General features: G+C 39.1%; 1 protein-coding gene across 19 annotated transcripts in view, besides 1 other annotated feature; it reads right to left on the bottom strand.

Annotated features, from left to right (window-relative positions):
- Nucleotides 1-2,792: 2,792 nt before the first annotated feature.
- The window catches only part of TRPM8 (transient receptor potential cation channel subfamily M member 8), a 102,150-nt gene continuing 85,407 nt past the window's right edge, over nt 2,793-19,535 (bottom strand). For 10 of the 19 annotated variants that reach the window (NM_024080.5, NM_001397611.1, NM_001397607.1 and 7 more), the window contains 4 exons: nt 15,363-15,462; nt 14,212-14,245; nt 7,661-7,753; nt 2,793-5,016 (listed from right to left, as the gene is read on the bottom strand). In NM_024080.5, coding sequence (NP_076985.4) covers nt 7,703-7,753; nt 14,212-14,245; nt 15,363-15,462 — 185 coding nt within the window. In that variant the 3' untranslated portion in view covers nt 2,793-5,016; nt 7,661-7,702. Of the gene's footprint in view, nt 5,017-7,660; nt 7,754-14,211; nt 14,246-15,362; nt 15,463-18,953; nt 19,145-19,535 lie in introns of those variants that run through there. The other 9 variants (XM_011511810.3, XM_017004891.1, XM_024453133.2 and 6 more) reach the window with 3 other exon arrangements.
- Nucleotides 10,561-10,839: a silencer, noted in NCBI's record as "fragment chr2:234920120-234920398 (GRCh37/hg19 assembly coordinates)". NCBI's record gives its function as "represses an EF-1alpha promoter that drives an FKBP-Casp9 reporter gene in an ReSE screen in phorbol 12-myristate 13-acetate-treated (for megakaryocytic differentiation) K562 erythroleukemia cells {active_cell/tissue: K562(+PMA)}" and the evidence as "EXISTENCE:reporter gene assay evidence [ECO:0000049][PMID:32094911]".

The raw sequence follows: 19,535 nt of genomic DNA, 5'->3' as shown, positions 1-19,535 counted from the left end.
AATTATACAGCACTTTGGAGAATGGTGAAGAAGAGCTCAGTTCAACCACATAAATATCCCATCCAACTCCTGCAACAGACCAGGCACTGTCTGGGTGTAACGAGTTAAACAAACCAGTAAAAGTCTCTTCCCTCAAGAACTTCCCAGTCCAGTGAAGGGAGGAGACACATAAACAGATCATGATGGGAGTTGATCATCACAGCTGCCTGACCATGAATTGACTACAGGGGTGTCAAGGCACTTAGCCACTAAGTAGGGTCCAGCCAGGGCCTGTGACTAAGAGAAGTCCTTGTCCAGCACCAGGTGACCTACAGGTTCTATTTTCTACACGTGCCATGAGTGGAAGAGCCAGGAAGCCCTCATAGGACAAAGCTACCAGAGGTTGCTCTGGGAGCAGAGGATCAAGGCAGGCTTGCAGGAAGAGGTGATTCTCAAGTTGGGCCCTGACGGTAAAATAAGAGTTTGCCAAAGAGACAGGTGGAAGAGACATTAGCCAGAGAGAACAGCTGAAAATGGTGGTGATGGGGACAGCTAACATTCACTGAGCAGTTATAAAGGGCCAGCCCTGGATCTAGGGACTTCTCAACTTATCTCATGGAATCCTCTCAGTCCTCTGAGGAAGAAGGGTCATTTTACAGATGCATAAACCAAGGCACAGAAAACTCATATAACCTTTTCAAAGTCGCAGAGCTTTCGAACAATGATGCAGTTCTGAGTTATAGCACTATGCTGCCTCCTTTTAGGAAACCCCTAGAGGAATAAAACAAAGGATAGGGGAAAGCCATGGGGAAGAGTGGCCAACACAAGTGGTTTGGTTTTCCCCTGGCAAAGAGTGCTGGGCAGTAGGTGGTGGGAAGTGTCAAAGGGGAACATGCCACTCAGCTCAGGACAGGAGGGCCACACTGGCAGTTGGCATGAAGTCTGTGCCCAGACGGCTGTCTTCGAAGTTTGGGATCTAGGCAGGGAGGACTCTAGGATGCATCTGCAGAGGTAAGGGCCAGGCCGCTGCTGTCCATGAGCCCCATATTAGAAGTTAGGCAGGAGTTAGTACATAGGGAATCTCTGAAGACTTGTGAGCAGGGAATGGTTGGCTCCATCTTGCATTTCAGAAAGATACCCCCAGAGCAGTGTTGAGAATCAATGGGAGAGGTGAGAACTTGGATGGAAGGATCTTGCTGCAATCTAGCATGATGGGGGGCTGTGGGGGGCTCGCAGGCATGCCATGCTCCATGTTCTAGAAGGTCACGGGTGTTCTGATGATACAAGTGCTTTAATTTGTGTATTTATTTTCTGAAGATTTGTACCATCCCAGGGAAAGGGTCCTCAAAACACACTCCCCCTAACACATTCCTCTAGCCTGCCCCTTTTTGCTGTTCTTAGTCTCCCTGAATCCTCCTCAATATTTTCCCAGCAACTTCAAATGCATCCCACTTGACTAATGCACCGCCGTTAGTGACCACGTGCAGCCACCTGTGTCTTGCCCTCTACCTTGAGGAGTTTCTTGGGGCAGTTCTGCTCTACAAATACAAGACTGGTCTCCTTGGGAGGAATTCAGGAGAAGCCAATGTTCTCTGTCTTATTTCACAAGCAAAGATGAGTGTCCCCAGGCACTTCCCTCATCCTCTACCCCACACAGGAGAATCTCCTTATTCTGTATGTGGATCTGCAGAATAAAGATACACACGCACTTGGAATTCTGCCTTGTAGTGTTAATTTCATTGCTTAAATTAACCTCAACTATTCAAACAGATTGTAAAATGATGGAAGGCGCAGGCTACCAATCCCTTTCACTTATTTTGAACCATTCTTATAGCCAAAGAAGTGCCCAAAGTCAACATTTAGTAACAACATGTTACATGTTACACATATAAAAGAAGAAGGGAAATTTCTTCTTGTCAGATAAGATTTTTGTAGGGAACAAACTGATTTTAAAAATTTGATGCTATAAATGTGTATGTGTAGTACCCTAAGCCCCAACTGATTCCACTAAATTAATTGTGGTTCAGAGATGCCTGTTTGGGTCTGATAAACAAATGAGGTAGGCCAGCTACTGTCACTTTTCCCATAAAGATTTCTATCTTCAGGGGAATAAAGGCTCACCTGCTCATACCTGAGTTCGGGTTGGGAAGGTCAGTGGGATGTGTGCTCCCCGTATCCAGCACCAGCTCAACCCTGACTTTCAAGCCTTTTATTTTGAGACTGAGGCTGCGCCAGCAACTGTATCCATGACAACAACACACTTCAGTCCCCAGGTGGACCAAGCAGCAGCAGCATGGGAAAAGAGACATTTCCCAGATTCTTCCTGGAATGAATGTGTGTTTGGAGCAGGAGGGCCCAGGAACACTCTGGAGACAATGCCTACAACAAGGGAATCATGTCCTTTGCTGGGCCCGAAGCTCCATTGTCAAGTGGTTTGTGGACAATCAACATTCGTGTTGACCCCAACATAGAGCAGGAGCACCTGTTTGTGAGCCCACATGAGGCCTCAAAAAAGCCCCATGACACATTGGGGTGGCTCTGAGTCAATGAATCTGGAGTCCCCGGGGCTACAGATGGATGCCTGACTTGGGGGAAACCAAAAAGTGGGCCACAGAATTCAGATCTGGCCATGTTGACAAGAACCAGAACCAGAGGGGGGAATTCATTTGCTTGCATTTAATCAGAATGCTCTAGTCATCTGCTTAGAGAAGTCAGTTCATGTAACTCTGGGAACCAAATCCCTATAGAAGTGAATCTGACCGAATTAAGGAATTTTATTTTGTCACTCTCAATAAAATGACAAAAGCAACACATGACAATTCCTCCATTATTTATTTCATGAACACACTCATTAAACCAAGCTGCAGGATTCTCAGTTGTGCAAAAGTACACAGGACACATTTAGTACCATACACAAGGACATAGCACCTTTGATTAGAAGTATGTTCAATACATTATTGTGAACTACACTAAAAATAATGATTTTTCATAAGCAAAATTCTCAGAGTAACCTGCAAAAACATCCACCAGATGAACTGGGTTGAAAACATTTAACAGTTCCCTCTCTAATGCAAGTTGCTTCTCAGTATTGGGCAAGTTTTCTGTCTTGGTGTTTAAGTAAAAAGGCATCTTTTATTTGTGTTAATTCCTTGCAAACATAGTGAATGTTGTGAGTAGTTATTTTCACTACTGCCCAGACAAAAGGAAAATAAACTTTTTTAGTTAATGCTTTTGTAGTTTTTCAAATTAGATCTTTTAGTAGCTTCCTTCTAAAATTTCCTCCTTCAGCCAGTGAGTTTATAGTGTATTCAAAGCTGAGAAACTAATTATGGGCATTTCAATTGCCTTGTGCACATCCTGCTCAAATACGACCACTTCCAGAGAAAGCTGGGACTACAGGTGTTCAGTAAGATAATCTCTCCAATTCTATACCATTCCCTTCACCATCCATAATATTTATTTATTTATTTATTTATTTATTTATTTATTTTCAGTCGGAGTCTCACTCTGTCACCCCGGCTGGAGTGCAGTGGTGCAATCTTGGTTCACTGCAACCTCCGCCTCCCAGGTTCCAGCAATTCTTGTACCTCAGCCTTCTGAGTAGCTGGGATTACAGGAGTGCACCACCACACCCAGCTAATTTTTTTATTTTTAGTAGAGATGTGGTTTTGCCATGTTGGCCAGGCTGGTCTCGAACTCCTGACCTCAAGTGATCTGCCCACCATCCATAATATTTAAATAAGCATATTGACTTCTTCTTAAACTAAGGGTTAAATATAATATTTTATTTTAATAGTTCAGGTTCATGTATCTCATATCTTATGCTCAAGTTAATAATTCCTATTTGCTATACATTTATGAAAAAGCCTTATAAATGGTTTTAATAATAAATAGATATTTTAATATTTAATAATAAATAGATATTTATTGGAATCTAACCTTGGAAAATTTTCCCAAATACAGCAATAGGATTCATGCACAAAGATGCTCATCCCAATGATCAACTGGAGATAGCCTTCAATGAGCAAAATTATGGTAATCGCTAGAGGTTGCCTATTATGCAATTATTGATATAATGTTTAAGAAGGCTATGAATATAATAAAAACATATTTGATAAAATACTAAGTGAAAAAGCTTACATAAAAAGTATATATGTAGTATGATAACATTCTGTAAAATTTTGAAAGAGAATTGAGACATACATAGAAAAAAAATAGACTTGAAAAACCATCCAGAAATTGTTAGCAGTGATTACCTTAAGGTAATGGGGACAATTTATGTTCTTTCTACATCTCTGTATGGTCTAAATTTTCTATAATAGCCAGCTATTATTTTTAATGGAAAAATAATAAGAGGAGTATCCAATAAGAACAAAGTCAGTAGTGCCTTTCAAGGTTGCATTTTGGGCGACTTTTCACATATTTAGGAATGGGGGTGGTTCCTTCAATAGGAGCCTGGTGAGTCCAAGAGAGCAAGAGACTGCCTTGTCACCTCCTCTGACAGGTAAGAAGCATCCTGAGAAATGAAAACACTTTTCCTGAAGAGAGCGGGGTCCTCTTGCTGCAGCATGTTTTAGAATCTGGCCTAATTTGAGAGACTTTTAACAATATGCCAACTAATTAGTCACATAATACAAAAAAGGGAAAAGTAGAGAATCAATTGGAAATGAACAAAATAACAATACAGGAGTAAAGCATGACCAGGTTCTTATTCATAGGATAGATGTTCTCCTATATATGTGTTCATCAAAAATAAGATTAAAGGAAAAAGGAGGCGGTAAGAACACACTTAAACTATCAACCTCCAGTCCCAGGCATTGAGACACAGAGAGAAACAGGCACCATTCTGGAGAAACACATAAAGGAAATATTCTTCCTTTATATCCGTCTTCAAGTATGAAACCAATCACACACTTTATTCTCAAGGTCTCAGCACACTAGGGTGATTTAAAATCATCCACCATGTACCCAGGGGTCTGAAAATCTCTCATTTAGTAGTCGATAGCAAAATTGTTCATCAGCATTCCTTAATATGATCTGTAAAAACAAAGAAAGAACACTGTGTTAAGAATAGATTTCCCACTTCCATTCTCAGGCAGGATATGGTTTGCTTCAAAATATACTGGGAATATACTGGGAATAGATCCAAATATACCACCAAAGTTGAGAGATTTTTTTTTTTATAGAAGCAGCTCTGAGAATGTTTTTTTCTCTTAAAGATGTGTATTCTGACCAGTTTATCGGTGTGAGCTGCGTGACTAAGGTTGAATGATCAAGGCTCAACTCATTCAAACTCATTCAATCTAGGTTAAAACCCAGAATGTTTCTGAGCATTTTATTTGCTCAGTGGTTTCTGCATAAATTTTTAAAAACTGAATTAAAACTGAAATAACATAAAAATGTGGGTTTTTGATGAGTCCCCCAAGGAACAGCCTAGATTCTTTTAATGAACTAGAACGTAAGTGCAGCAAATGCAAGAATCAACGGACTATTATGCAGGAAATGAACAACTTCCAGGGACCTTCCTTAAAGTAAGGTCTATTCCCATAGTCTTCAGGGAGGGTGCCCACTGCTGAAGTATAAAAATAGGAGAAAACAAATGGCTTGCTCTCACCCTGGATTCTTACTTCCTTTCAACTTTGGTGTAAGAGAAGGAAAAAAAATAGACAATTATCTGTTTATTTCATCCCAAGTTCCGGGATCAAAGGTTGATTCAAGGATGGAGATGGGGGAATTGGTACAGGCTTGCCCCCAGGGTCAGCTCCTCGCCTAGGTCAAACGGTTTCCAGTTCACTCCCACAAGAGACTGACACTGTCTTCCCTGGCCACTACCCCAGGGAAGGATTACCCTCACCCCTCTAGAGAAAGAAGCCTAAGGAGACACTGGCAGAGCATACCTAGCTGATTGCCTATAAAGTTATATTTTCAGTGATGTTCTTAAGGATATGACAAACACAACATTCAAAAAAATGATCTTATATCTAGAAGTAAAAAGCATACAAAAAGTTGGACATGCCAAATTTGTTGTCTCTGAGGCCACCAGTGGTTCTGAATTTTGGGGACACCTGTTTTCTCATGGGCTCTTTTGCTCCTCTTTTTTTTTCTGTGTAGATGCAAATGTCTACACCCACACACACACACAAAATAAGTGATGTCCTTCTCTTAGTTCCTTTTCATTCATCAGTTACTTAATTCTCAATATGTTAATAAAAGTTTAAGGTTAAAGAAAGGGCGAGTTGATAGGAAATCAGTCTGTCTGCCCGTTTTACTCACAGTCAGCACATTTGAGAAAGAATGAGAGATGAGAAGACTGGATATTTAGGAGGGGGATGTGCGTGTCTGAATCTGACTCTCTTCTGATTATTACAACTCTTTAATCACCTTTAGATTTGTATCATTTTAGTTGTTCTATCTGTTGCTGATTTTGTTTCTATATTTCAGCAGATAAACTAAACAAGATGGCATGTGTTTCAAAACCCAAATTGTAATTTATTATAAGGTTTAATAGTGTTTTCATTAAATACGATTATGAAAAAGTTGAAATAAGTTCTCCCTTAATATGCAAGGCTTATTTTCTTGAGCACGTCAGAAGGCTGTACCTCCCTTTCAGATTACATCAAATGTGCATCAGTCTTGCTCTAACAAAGCCCTCCATAATACAGTGCTTTTTAATATGAGCTATAACTGTCAGAACCCAAGGAAAAGAACTCTGAGACCAGAAAGATTGAAAGGAACCTAATGCAACATGATTTCCCCTATAGCACAATCACCCCATGAATAGGAATTTCTGCAGCTTAAGTACTTAATGCATAGACAGTGGTCAGTGTATGAGGTCAGTGCCAGGGCCAGCACAGTTCTGAGCACTGAGCAGGTACTCAATAAATACTCATGGAAGGAAGGGAAGAGAGGAAGGAGAAAGAAGAGAATTCTTAATTATGTTTCCATTCCTTGCAATTTGCTTTCTCAAAAAAAAAAAAAATTCTAATCCAGTGGAATGCCCATTGCTGTTTTTTTCCTAACTCGACGTGTCCATAAAACATTCCTAACATTTGGTTTCAAGATTTGGACAGGTAATGAGAAAACATAATAAAAGCAAACAGTAAGACCATGGAGCAAAGCCTTGGGTTAAATTTTGTCAGTTAATTGAATTGCATTTTTATTGTGCAAAAGAGCTATTGTTAAAAACCTTGAATGCCTCACCAAAACATTTTTTGTTAGTAAAAAGATGATTAACATATTTGTATATTCATAGTAATAAATATAATATCATGAGAATAAGACATCTTTGGGTGCTGATCTGTAAATACATTCATGATACAGAATTAAGGAAGATCAAAAAATAACAGAACTTGGAACAGTGTGACCTTGTTTCAATTCATGCCAAAATAGCTGCATAGGTTGCAAGTGTTTTAAAAGGTCCTACAGGACAAGATACTTACACCCTGCTCGTAGCAATGCTAATCCCTGGTGTGGGCAGCAAAATTGGTAGGGAAGGTAATGTGAGGAGGAACTTCAACTTGTTCTTTCTCTATCTCTGTATTTTTTTTTTTTGCACAATGCATTATTTTCAAATTTGGTAATTTATGGAAATAAAATAACTGAGGAAAAAATCATGATCTTAAATTAGTCTTAAAAGATGCAAATCTTCAGAGCAAAGTAAAAAGCTATTAGAATGACTCACCTTGCTATAATTAGATTTTTCTCCATTAGAGTTCATACAGTTTTATTTGATTTTATTAGCAATCTCTTTCAGAAGACCCTTGAGATCATTAAGCTTGGAAAGAGAAAAAAATAGAACTCATCTTAAGATAAATTTTCCAACTTTCATTTTTAAATTATCGCTCTGTGCCTTTTCTAAGAAACAGACATGTCTACTAAATAGCAAGCATGGCACATCTAAAATAAGGCAGAATGAGAGTGGCATGTGATATTTCAGATCCTGATCATTGCTTACTTTCTGAAATCATATCACTAGCAATTAGTAACCAATTAGTAAACCAATTAATATTAACTTTACTCAGATCCAAATCATTAGTGCTCCCAAACAGAAATAATAGATTGCAATAATACAAACAAGTAATATGTAAAAAGAATAATGTTCTATGTAACTAACATTAATAAAAGTATAAGATACTAATTAAGTTTTGCTTTGGTAAAAGTATAATACTAATAAAAATAATGTGATACTAAGAAATCAAATTTTTGCAAATAAAAGATTTCCCCACACACACAAAAACAGCAGACAATTTAAGTAAGAGGCATAATGAAATTAATCTTGATCCATGCATGTTTCACAAATTTATTACAAAAGATACATGAAGTCATTTTAAATTACATGTCATATTACTACATTTGCTAAAAGCAATTTCTGTACAGTTTGGTTTCTAATTTGCTTTATCACTCACTCAAGAAAAAAATCTGTATTTAAGTTGAGCTTAATTCCAGTAGTAACCTTTTACTTTAACTGTTTAAAAATAAAAGAAAAAAATGAAACTATAAGTGCTAACGGCTTCCTAAAATAAATAAGGCATAGTAAGATCCATACTTACAGACTTAAGATGAATTGTAAATAACTTTGTTTTCTGGTATAAGGAGATGGGGAAATTTTGTATTCCCTATAGGAGCTTTTGAAAGAGCCTTGTATTTGTTAATAGTAAAATGACTTTAGTAAGCTGTTTAAAGTAGAGCAAAAACTCCAAGAGCAAAATACATTTTTAAAAAAGAGAGTTGAAAAACAATGGGAAAAAAAATCATTGAAAGTAAGAGTTGGTTTTTTGAAAAGATAAACAAAATCAACAAACCTTTTAAGAAAAGGAAGAAGATACAAATAAATACAGTCAGAAATGAGAAAGACAACCTTACAACAGAGGGCATAGAAATGAAAGGGATCAGAAGGGGCTAGTATGAACAATTATATGCAAACAAGGTGGACAACCTAGAAGAAATGGAAATATCCCAGAAATGTACAACTTACAAAGACCTGAATCAAGAAGAAATACAAAGCCTGAACAGACAAACAACAAATGAAGAAAATGAAAATCAGCAATCAAAAAGCTTTCAACAAAGAAAAGCCCAGGATGGCTTACTGGGAAATCAGATGGCTTACTGGTAAATTCTAGCAGACAGTCAAAGAAGAACAAATGCCAAACCTTAGACTCTTCCAAAAAATAGAAAAGGGAACAAGTACAAATTCATTGTGTGAGGCCAGCATTGTTCTTTTACCAAAGCCGGAAAAAGATAACACAAGAAAAGAAAACTATAGGCCAATGTTCCTGAGGAACATAGATACAGAAATCTCAATAAAATACTAGCAAACTGAATTTCAGAGCATATTAAAAGGATCCGTGAAGACACCACCACCCAGGGGTATTTAGCCCTGGGATGCAAGGGTGGTTCAAAATATGAAGATTCATCAGTGTGATACACTACATTAACAGAATGAAAGACAAAAACCACATGATCATCTCAATAGATACAGAAAAAGTAGTTGACAAAATTCAAGGCCTTTTCATGATAAAAGAAAAAAAAAGACTCTCAACAAAATCGATATAGAAGGAACTTACTACAACACAATAAAGGCCATATATGAAAAAACCCACAACTAAAATCATATTTAATGGGGTAAAATTGAAAGCTTTTTCTCTAAGATCAAGAATAAGGCAAGGATGCCCATTCTCACCACTGCTATTTAACATAGCATGACAAGTTCTAGCCAGAGAAATCAGACAAGAAAAAAAGAAAAGAAAAGGCATCTAAATAACAAAGAAGAAAGTAAAATTATCTCTATTTGCATATAACATAATCTTATATGAAGAAAATCCTAAAGACTACACACACTCACACACACACACACACACACTCTCACACACACAAAAAAAAACTGTTAGGACTGCTGGGCGTGGTGGCTCATGCCTGTAATCCTAGCACTTTGGGAGTCCAAGGCAGGCAGATCACAAGGTCAGGAGATGGAGACCATCCTGCTCAACATGGTGAAACCCCATCTCTACTAAAAATACAAAAATTAGCCGGGCATGGTGGTGCACGCCTGTAATCCCAGCTACTCAGGAGGCTGAAGCAGGAGAATCGCTTGAACCCAGGAGGCAGAGGTTGCAGTGGGCTGAGATTGCACCACTGCACTCCAGCCTGGGTGACAGAGACTCTGTCTCAAAAAAAAAAAAAAACTGTTAGAACTCATAAATAAATTCAGTATATTTGCAGGATACAAAGTCAACACATAAAAATTAATGGCATTTCTATACACCAACAAAGAGCTATCTAGAAGGGAAATTATGAAAACAATCCATTAATATAAGTAACAAAAAGAATAAAATTCTTACAAATTTAACAAAGAAGTAAAAGACTGGTACACTGGAAATTATAAAACATTGATAAAGGAAATCTTTTTTTTTTTTTTTTTTTTTGAGACAGTCTCGCTCTGTCTCCCAGGCTGGAGTGCAGTGGCGCGATCTCGGTTCACTGCAAGCTCTGCCTCCCAGGTTCACGCCATTCTCCTGCCTTAGCCTCCAGAGTAGCTGGGACTACAGGTGCCTGCCACCACACCCGGCTAATTTTTCTGTTTTTAGTAGAGACGGGGTTTCCCTGTGTTAGCCAGGATGGTCTCGATCTCCTGACCTTGTGATCCACCTGCCTCGGCCTCCCAAAGTGCTGGGATTACAGGCATGAACCACTGCGCCCGGCCAGGAAATTTTAAAAGACACAAATAAATGGAAAAACATCCCATGTTCATGGATTGAAAAAATGAATATTGCCAAAATATCCATTCTACTCAAAGAAGTCTACAGATTCAATGCAATCCCTATCAAAATTCCATGAGCTTTTTTTTTAAAGAAATAGAGAAAACAATCCTAAAATTATATAAAACCACAGAAGATTCTGAATAGCCAAAGCAATCTTGAGCAAAAAGAACTAAGCTGGAAGCATCACACTTCCTGACTTCAAATTATATTACAAAGCTAAAGTAATCAAAACAGTACGGTACTGACATAAAAACAGACTATAGACCAATGGAATAGAATAAAGGGCCCAGAAATAAATTCACATATTTATAGCCAACTGATTTCTCCAAAGGCATCAGTGGGGAAAGGAAAGTCTTCAATAAATGGTGTTGAAAAAACTGGATATCCACATGTAAAAGAATAACATTGGACCCCTATCTCAGACTATACACAAAAATCAACTCAAAATGGATCAAAGGCTTAAACATAAGACTTGAAACTGTAAAACTCCCAGAAGAAAGCATAGGGGAAAACCTTCTTGACTCTGGTCGTGGCAATGATTTTTTTGGATATGACTCCAAAAGCAAGGACAAGAAAAGCAAAAACAAACAAGTGGGATTATGTAAAACAAAACCTTCTTCACAACAAAGGAAGCAATAAATTAAATAAAAGGGCAACCTATGAAGTGGGAAAAAGAGATTTACAAACCATTTATCAGTAAGCACCTAATATCCACAATACATAGGGAACTCATACAACTCAATACCAAAAATACAAATAAACTGATTAAAAAGTGGGTAAAAACTTAGACACTTCTCAAAAGAAAAAATTCAAATGTCAAACAGGTATATGAAAAGGTGCTCAACACTTAATCATCAGGGAAATACAAATCAAAACCACAATGAGACCATACCTCACACCTGTTACGACGCTTATTATCAAAAAGGCAGATGATAAGTGTTGGCAAGGAGGTGGGAAAAGGCGAACTCTTGTACACTATTGGTGGGAAGGTAAGTTGATATAGCTATTATGGAAAACAGTATAGAAGTTCCTCAAAAAAAACAAAAATACAATTATCATATGATCCAGCAATCCCACCTCTGGGTTTAGGTCCAAAAGAATTGAAATCAGGATCACAAAGAGATATCTGCATTCTCACATTCACTGCAGCATGATTCACAATAGCCAAAATATGGAAACTACCTAATGTCCATCAAGAGATCAATGGATAAAGAAAATGTGGTACATACCTATAATGGAATATTTTTCACCCTTAAAATGGGGAAAGAAATGCTGCCATTTTCCACAGCGTAAGTGGAGCTGGAGGACATTATGCTAAACAAAATTAGCCAGACACAGAAAGAGAAATAATGCACTATCTCACTTATATGTGAAATCTAAAAGAGTCAAACTCATCAAGTCAGAGAGTAGCACGGTGGTCGCTGGGGCTAAGAAGGAGGGGCAAATCAGGTGATATTGGTCAAAGGGCAGAAAGTTTCTGTTATGCAAGATAAATAAATTCTAGAGATCAACTGTACAGCATGGTGACAATAGTTAACAACATTGTACCCACGAAATTTGCCAGGAGGAGAGATTTTAAATTAATCTAATTCCCTCACACATACATACAACACTCACAGATGGTAAATATGTAGAAGTAATACGATGTTAATTAGCTGGGCTCGGTTGTAGTGATCATTTTGCAATGTATACATGCATCAAAGCATCAAATTGTACATTTTAAATATATATAATTTTATATGTCAATGATATCTCAATAAAGCTGTTTAAAAATAAATTTAAAAGACTCCAGAAGCTTTCTTGAGAAACAAAAGATTATCCCTAAAATTCTCTGTGAGTAAAAAGAAGGAGGGATTTTTGGTTGTTCAGAAGGGGAAGTAAGAGGACAGAGGGGGAAATTTTAAAAAAAGAGACAGAGCAAGGGGAAAGGGAGAAGGGGAGGGAGGCGGTGGGACCTCCTGAGTGATGGCCGAGGCTCTGCGCTGTGCAGTGGGGATCCAGGCTGACGAACTTCCTGGACCCTAGGAGTCAGGTCAGCTGGTCCTGTATCCACAATTCTACCGCCTCTCCTCTGACCCAGGGCCCAGGCTGGGGCCAAGGCTCGCACCCTGTCCCTCTCTTCCTGCATCCACTGTTGCTGCCCTCCTCTGTCCACTCTCTGCATGTCCCACAGCAGGATCAGGACCAAGGTGTGGCTTGGGGAAGCTTTTGCCCAAACCCTAAGATGGCTTTCCATTAGCTCCCTCCGAAGTCACTCCAAATAAACTCGAGTAAAAAACAAAACAAACTAAAATAGACTGTTTTCTCTACAAACACACCACGTAGAAGAGTTCCCAGCGCATCTAACTCCCCAACCAGATTGCTGGAGCCTCTCCTCCACAACCATTCTGATCACTCAGAGAGCACTGTGAAAGGAGGATTCCAGATAGGTCCCTCTTGGGTTTTAAAACTCCCCGAGCCTTCCCTTGCATGGGAATAAAATCCAGCTCTGTAAAGAGGCAAGCAAGTTCCCAGGCAGAATAACCCAGACTCCCCCACTTCTTCCCACTGGGCTCTCTTCTGGTTCATGCTGCCCCTCATTTCAGCTGCTTACAACAACCCATCGTTCTCTAGACTTAGGGCCTTCACAGCTGCCAACTACTGCCTAGATTTTTTAAATGTTGAGGGTAAATAACACAAATAAATAAACAAGAAACTGTAAACAGATAAATTCTTATATGAGAGCTCTGCAAGGGACCCCTTTTGTTCATTTATTCATTCAATAAACATTTATTAAGGCTCTACTATGGTCAAGGTACTGGGTGGTGGAGATTTTGCCAAACCAGATGGGGTCCTGTCTACCCACCGAACAGCCACAACACTGGGAGGTCTATGAATGTCATCATCCGGGATGCCATTCTCAAACTAACGTGATAGAATACCAAATATCATCTCCTCTTCAGAGCCTAGCAGGGATCTAGCATATACGAATCGATTGTGATTTGAACCTGATTATAATTTCAGCTACCCAGCTCAGAGTGAGGGCAGACACACTCTGTCTATGCCTGGTGTTCATATGCGTACTCACGCATTTCCAATGCCCTCCAAATAAAACAGGCAACGAATCAGAGTGGCAGCAAAGACTAGCATCAAGGCACACTGGCTCCCAAAAAGCTCTTTTGAGCCTTCCTTATGTTCCCTATAATTGTAAGCATCTTCACCTGCCTCCACAGCTGAAAGAAAGAGAAGAGGGGGCCCTGAGTTGGATAAGACAGAAAAGATTTTGGACATCATGGAAGTGGGACTTCAAGACTCTTCCCTGGGAGATGCTTAGAGCATGAGAAGCAATACCATTCCAGCACCCTGCTCTTAGACAGTGAATTAAGAAAGCTGAATATAACTTCTTTTATTATCACAACTACTGGCCTCTAGCTGAAAGCTCAAAGTATTAGTGACCAAAAAAAAAAAAAAATCCAAACTATTAACAGAACCATACCTTTGTATCCAGTTGTCTAAATCGATGCCTCATTCTGCAAAGAAGTTAATGAAAAAGAAAGTGAACAAGAGAAAAACAGATTGAGAGAGGGCTATTAGGCTCCATTTTGCAGTCTTTTAAATTAAAGTACAGAATACAAGTCATTTTCACTCTTAGCTAAATCAAGAATCAGCTGCATTTACCTTTCTGATTTTCTTCCTAGTACCCTAACAAAGCAGAATTTTATCTCATCACAATTAGAAGTGCAGCACATAAATGCTATTGCTGTTGACAGGGCGGTGGAAAAGGACTTGTAAGTCTGTGTGTCCCTTGCAAAACCTAGATCTCAGAGTCTAGGGATGGAGGAGAGCTTATGACATCATCTCTGTTGTTAGAACGAGCATCCCATGCTTCTTTCAACAGCTGTATTGAACCCAGCAAAGGTATTAGTTGTGCTTATATATACTCATATTTTGTTAGAGTGAAACTTGAGGTGTGTTTTGAACCCTCAGGAAGAGTGACAGCTGTCAGTGAAGAACGTTAACATTTACAATAAGAGCACGCTCTATAGACTTCACAACACATTACTTCTGGGCCACCTACAGACTTAGCTATGACTTATCTATTTCTATAAGATGTTTAATCAACGTATTTCTTAATCACATGGATTTTATAACAGCTTCATGCGATTCATAAATGAATTCAGGATTTTTCATGGACAGCCTGTAACAGATCAACAAAATGGTTTTTCTATCTTCTAATATCTGTACTTCTTCACCACAAAGATAAATAGGTGTGTGGCACTTGCAAGATAATGCCAATGGCCCATGACCTGTGAGTCTTGCCAGAACCCACCTCTGCGGCCGCAGCAGGGGACCCACCCTCTTGTTACCTAGTTCCATGGCCCTGCACTGCAGGCTCCAAATACCTCTCTCTCTCCCAGGGCCTTGAAGGGCAATTGGGATAGTAGGTGGGTGTTTTTTCTCCTTCTCCAAAGGCTGGCACACACTTACGCGTTTGTCATCTTCAATTGCCCGGGTAATATCTTTGTGGTGGTATTATTCTCTGTTGAAAATGCTCTTTACTGAGTTTGCTCAAATAAGCTGCCTACGTTCTATGGGCTTATGTCTACAGAGGGAGCCTTGCAAAGCAGAAAGGGATGTCTGACATACTCCTCTGAGGTGTCGTTGGCTTTTGTGTTGATCTTGACAAGGTAGTTTTCCTTCATGACACCCTCCCATGCCAGAGTCTCATTGTCTTCATTTTTGAAACCTTGAATAATGAGAAAAAGAAAACATTCAAATTGTTTCATTTGCCCCTTGCTTCCTAAATTAAGATCTTCTAAGGCATTTTGTGAGACTCTAGAACTAAGAATGAGATTCGTCCTGCACAGGCTGGTTTGACTGATGTTACTTCCTAGTGACAGCATCAGAGTGATGGAATAGTAATGGCTTTCTCCTAACAATGAAGAATTGGAGCTGCCTGTGTGAAATAGGAATGCAATCTTTATTCTAAATAATCGATCTAAATCCTATCTGTGTGTTTTGTGACTTCGCAAAATCATTCCACTAATGAATTTAGTTCTCACATTTGATATGTGCTCTTCTTCCATTTTGATGACATAAAAATGCTAAACAATTCAGCTGGATAATTGCTGATGAATTGTGTACTTACTCTCAACCTAAAACTGGGGTAGGAGCTCTGGAGGAGAGGAAAATAAGCCCGAGGCATTGTTTCTGTCCTTCTGAAACATGAGCTGTGGACCTCAAAGAAAATTCACCTAAGATAGGGCATGCCGTAAGATTGTTCTGGGACATATTCCAGTAAGATTTTTAGTTCAATTCCTTATGGTGCCTGAGCCTTTCAGAAGACAGGAAAACAAAAGGACAGATCCACATGTCACCTATATTTCAGGTACGAATGCAATGGACGTCAAACCTCCACACAAATTCACGGGGACAAGAGAGCACATATGCTCACACAGGTGTCCATTTGGAATAAAATTATGTTGTTTTTAACTTTTGAGTTACCATTTAAATGTATTCATCAACATGTTAGAGTTTAGGAATAATTATAAGATTTCTCTGGATTTAAAAAGAATTAATTGGGGGTCAAAGACAGAACCAATATGCACATGGCTGGATTTAAGCAAATTCTGTGTGTGTGTGTGTGTGTGTGTGTGTGTGTGTGTGTGTGTAGATGACGTTTCGCTCTTGTCACCCAGGCTGGAGTGCAGTGGTGCAATCTCGGCTCACTGCAACCTCTGCCTCCCTGCAACCTCAGCCTCCTAGGTTCAAGCGATTCTCCTGCCTCAGCCTCCCAAGCAGCTGGGACTACAAGCGCATACCACCAAACCCAGCTAATTTTTATATTTTTAGTAGAGATGGGGTTTCATCACGTTGGCCAGGCTGGTCTCAAACTCCTGACCTCAAGTGGTTTACCTGCCTCGGCCTCCCAAAGTTCTGGGATTACAGGCTTGAGACACTGTGCCCAGCCTCGATTTAAGCAAATTCCACATAGCAAATATGTATTTATTTTTAAGTGTGGTTATTCACTTTACAAAATAATTCTTAACTAATTTTTTGAATTGTATTTTTCCCAACAAAGAAGTTTCAATGTCTTTTCTTCAAACAAAATCAATGAGAGAGTCCAACAGGAGTGCTTAAAAATCAGCATGGAAAGGGTAGACACTCCTGGACACAGACAGCCAGAGAGCAAGGATGACAAATGACCAAAAAATAAAAATAAAAAATGACCAACCTCTGTAACAGTCAAAGAAATGCTGATTGAAATGATGACATCGCATTTTCACTAACCATGCTGGAAAATTAGCAGTAAAATAATGACTATATCCCATGTTGGCAAGAATGTGGAGAAATAGGTCTCCCATACGAGGGGGCAAATCTGTCAATTGTTACTGCCTTAGGGTAATGGGGGACCAGAAGGTGGAGGAGGGGGGACAGCCAATATACAAAGACTTAAGAGGTGCATACCCTTTATTTAGAAATTTCTCTTTAGAAATAACTCAAAGGAAAAAAGTATTCATGTGCTCAGAAACGAATGCATAGAACTCTTTAACATAGCATTATATGCTAGCAAAAGCATCAAAACAATCTACATGTTTAACAAGGAACTGATTAATTATGGTGCATCCATAGGCTGGAATACTACTCCACGATTGAAGATTGTCATGTAGATTAGATGGTTATTTGTGGATATGGAAAAATTTTGCGATGTATTATTAGTTAAATGAGCAAGTTAGATTATGAATGTGTGTGTGTAGAGCAATCCAATTACTATACACCCACACAAAAATAACAGAATAAACACCAGTGTGTTGACAATATTTACCTCTGGATGGTGGGTTACATGTGCTCTTCATCTTTATTTGTGCTTTTCTATATTTTTCAAATGTCCTATAATGAATATGGATTGCTTTCCGAATCATGCAAAATAATACATTTTATGAAAAAGCAATTACTGTGTAGCATACATTTTTATTACTTGAAGATGTCACCAAAAAAAGTACCAAAAGTGAAACTTTGGATTCCACTGCTCTGAAAGTCATTTGAAAAATCTCGCATTTTTCTCCAAAGAAGAACAATTTCAGAATTAAACCCATGACGTCACCACCATTTGGAGGCAAAGCAAAATACATGTAGGAAACGAATTGCCAGCTAGAGGCCCTGGCAGCCGCCAAGTGCTGCGGTTTCAGGCATTAGTCATCTCCAAGGAGGAGAAGCAAATGAGCAGGCAGTGACCAGGCACCCTGGGGAGTCTGCAGTCAGAAAGTGGGGCTCTTGGCTCTCTCTGTCCCATTACTGCCACACCACCCGAGGGTGGAGAAAGATCCTGTCCTTCTGTTGTCTCCTATTCTCAGTGTTTCTTTGTTTCTTCCGAGAATATAAACTATCTGAAGAGGGATCATGTCAACAGTTAAACACACCATTTCTCTGGTTATTATGAGATCGCCACTCTCCCAGGGGCCCACTTGGGAGACAGGTCCAAATTCACTCTTTCATGTCTGACTTATCTGGTGGCTTCCTTGTGCTGAAGCCCCTTTTCATTTGCTGGCCAAATTGGGGGATTTGTTTCCATTTTATAGTCATATTGTGCTTAATCATTAATTAAGTTTTAGGGGAATGTAATGAATTTCGTCCTGCCTTCTCAACCTCACCCCTAATCTGGAGTACTGATTTGTCCTTATTTAGGCACTGAATTTCCTAATTCCCCTGATCCTGGGACTGAGTACAATGTATCTTTGGAGAATGGACCTTTATCCCATGCAGCCCCTCCTCCCACACATCCTCAACCTGAATCCCACTAGCGATGAGCAGTTCACTACCTCCACAGAACAATTAATCTCATTTCCAGATAGCCCACACTGTTAGACATTGTTCTTTGTACTGAATCAAAATCTTCCTCACTTTTATCCATTGTTTGTTTTCTCCCCTGAATCATTCAGAAAGAAGTATGATGCTTGTAGGTTTTCTGTTACCTGAAGGCACAGAATGGCCCCCTAAGACTTCTCCCAGGTCCTATAGCCACCAGCCGTGACATGGCTTCAAGACAGAACCAATGAGAGTCCTGAGGCATGTCATTAAGTGCTTCTAGTATCTGGGTGCCATGTTTGAGTCAAATTCCAGATCTGAACTTCCAAATCCTCTCCCTGATATAAAGACTTTTTGTGCTTTTAGTCAGAATTGACTCACTTTGTCTTTCAAGGCAAAACGATGGAAAGAAAGACGCAACTTATCCAAATTGTCAAAACACTTTCTTCATTAAGAACAGCAATTACATATGTGTGATCGTTAATGACATCCCCAAAGTGACATTTAACATTTTAAAATAATGCTGTTAAAAGAGTTGACTATGATGATTCTTTAAGGCATGACACGAGTTCGGGGTCGTGAATACATTTATATTCTGAAAGCCAGACTTCAGGGGCTCACAGCTATAGGGAGAGCACAGAAATATGTTATGATCAATATTTAAAGTAATATTTATGAGTACTTTGTCTCCTTTTCTAAGTAGTTCAAGAACCCCACAAAAAACGATGCTTCTTGGCAAGTTAAATTTTTCTTAATTGCCACCAATTACCATGTCTAGGTTAGCAAAATTTATATTTTTACTTTCTGAATCTTCAAAATATTTGAGATTACACTAAAGGCACAGGCATAATCAGCCCTCTATGGAACATGAATCCAGTGGTGGCAGTCAGTGACCATTTTATCAAATACCCTTAGGAAAAAAACAGAAGGGAACAGCTGTCCAGCAGCCACTGAAAGACACAACACCTGTGAACAGTAGAATGAGGATTTTAAAAAAAAGCAGAGAGAAGGACC

The sequence above is a fragment of the Homo sapiens genome, chromosome 2 (genome assembly GCF_000001405.40).
Source record: "Homo sapiens chromosome 2, GRCh38.p14 Primary Assembly".
In the NCBI taxonomy this organism is placed as follows: domain Eukaryota; kingdom Metazoa; phylum Chordata; class Mammalia; order Primates; family Hominidae; genus Homo; species Homo sapiens.
Note: the sequence above shows the minus strand (reverse complement) of the source record. Positions and strands in the feature narration are given on the sequence as shown.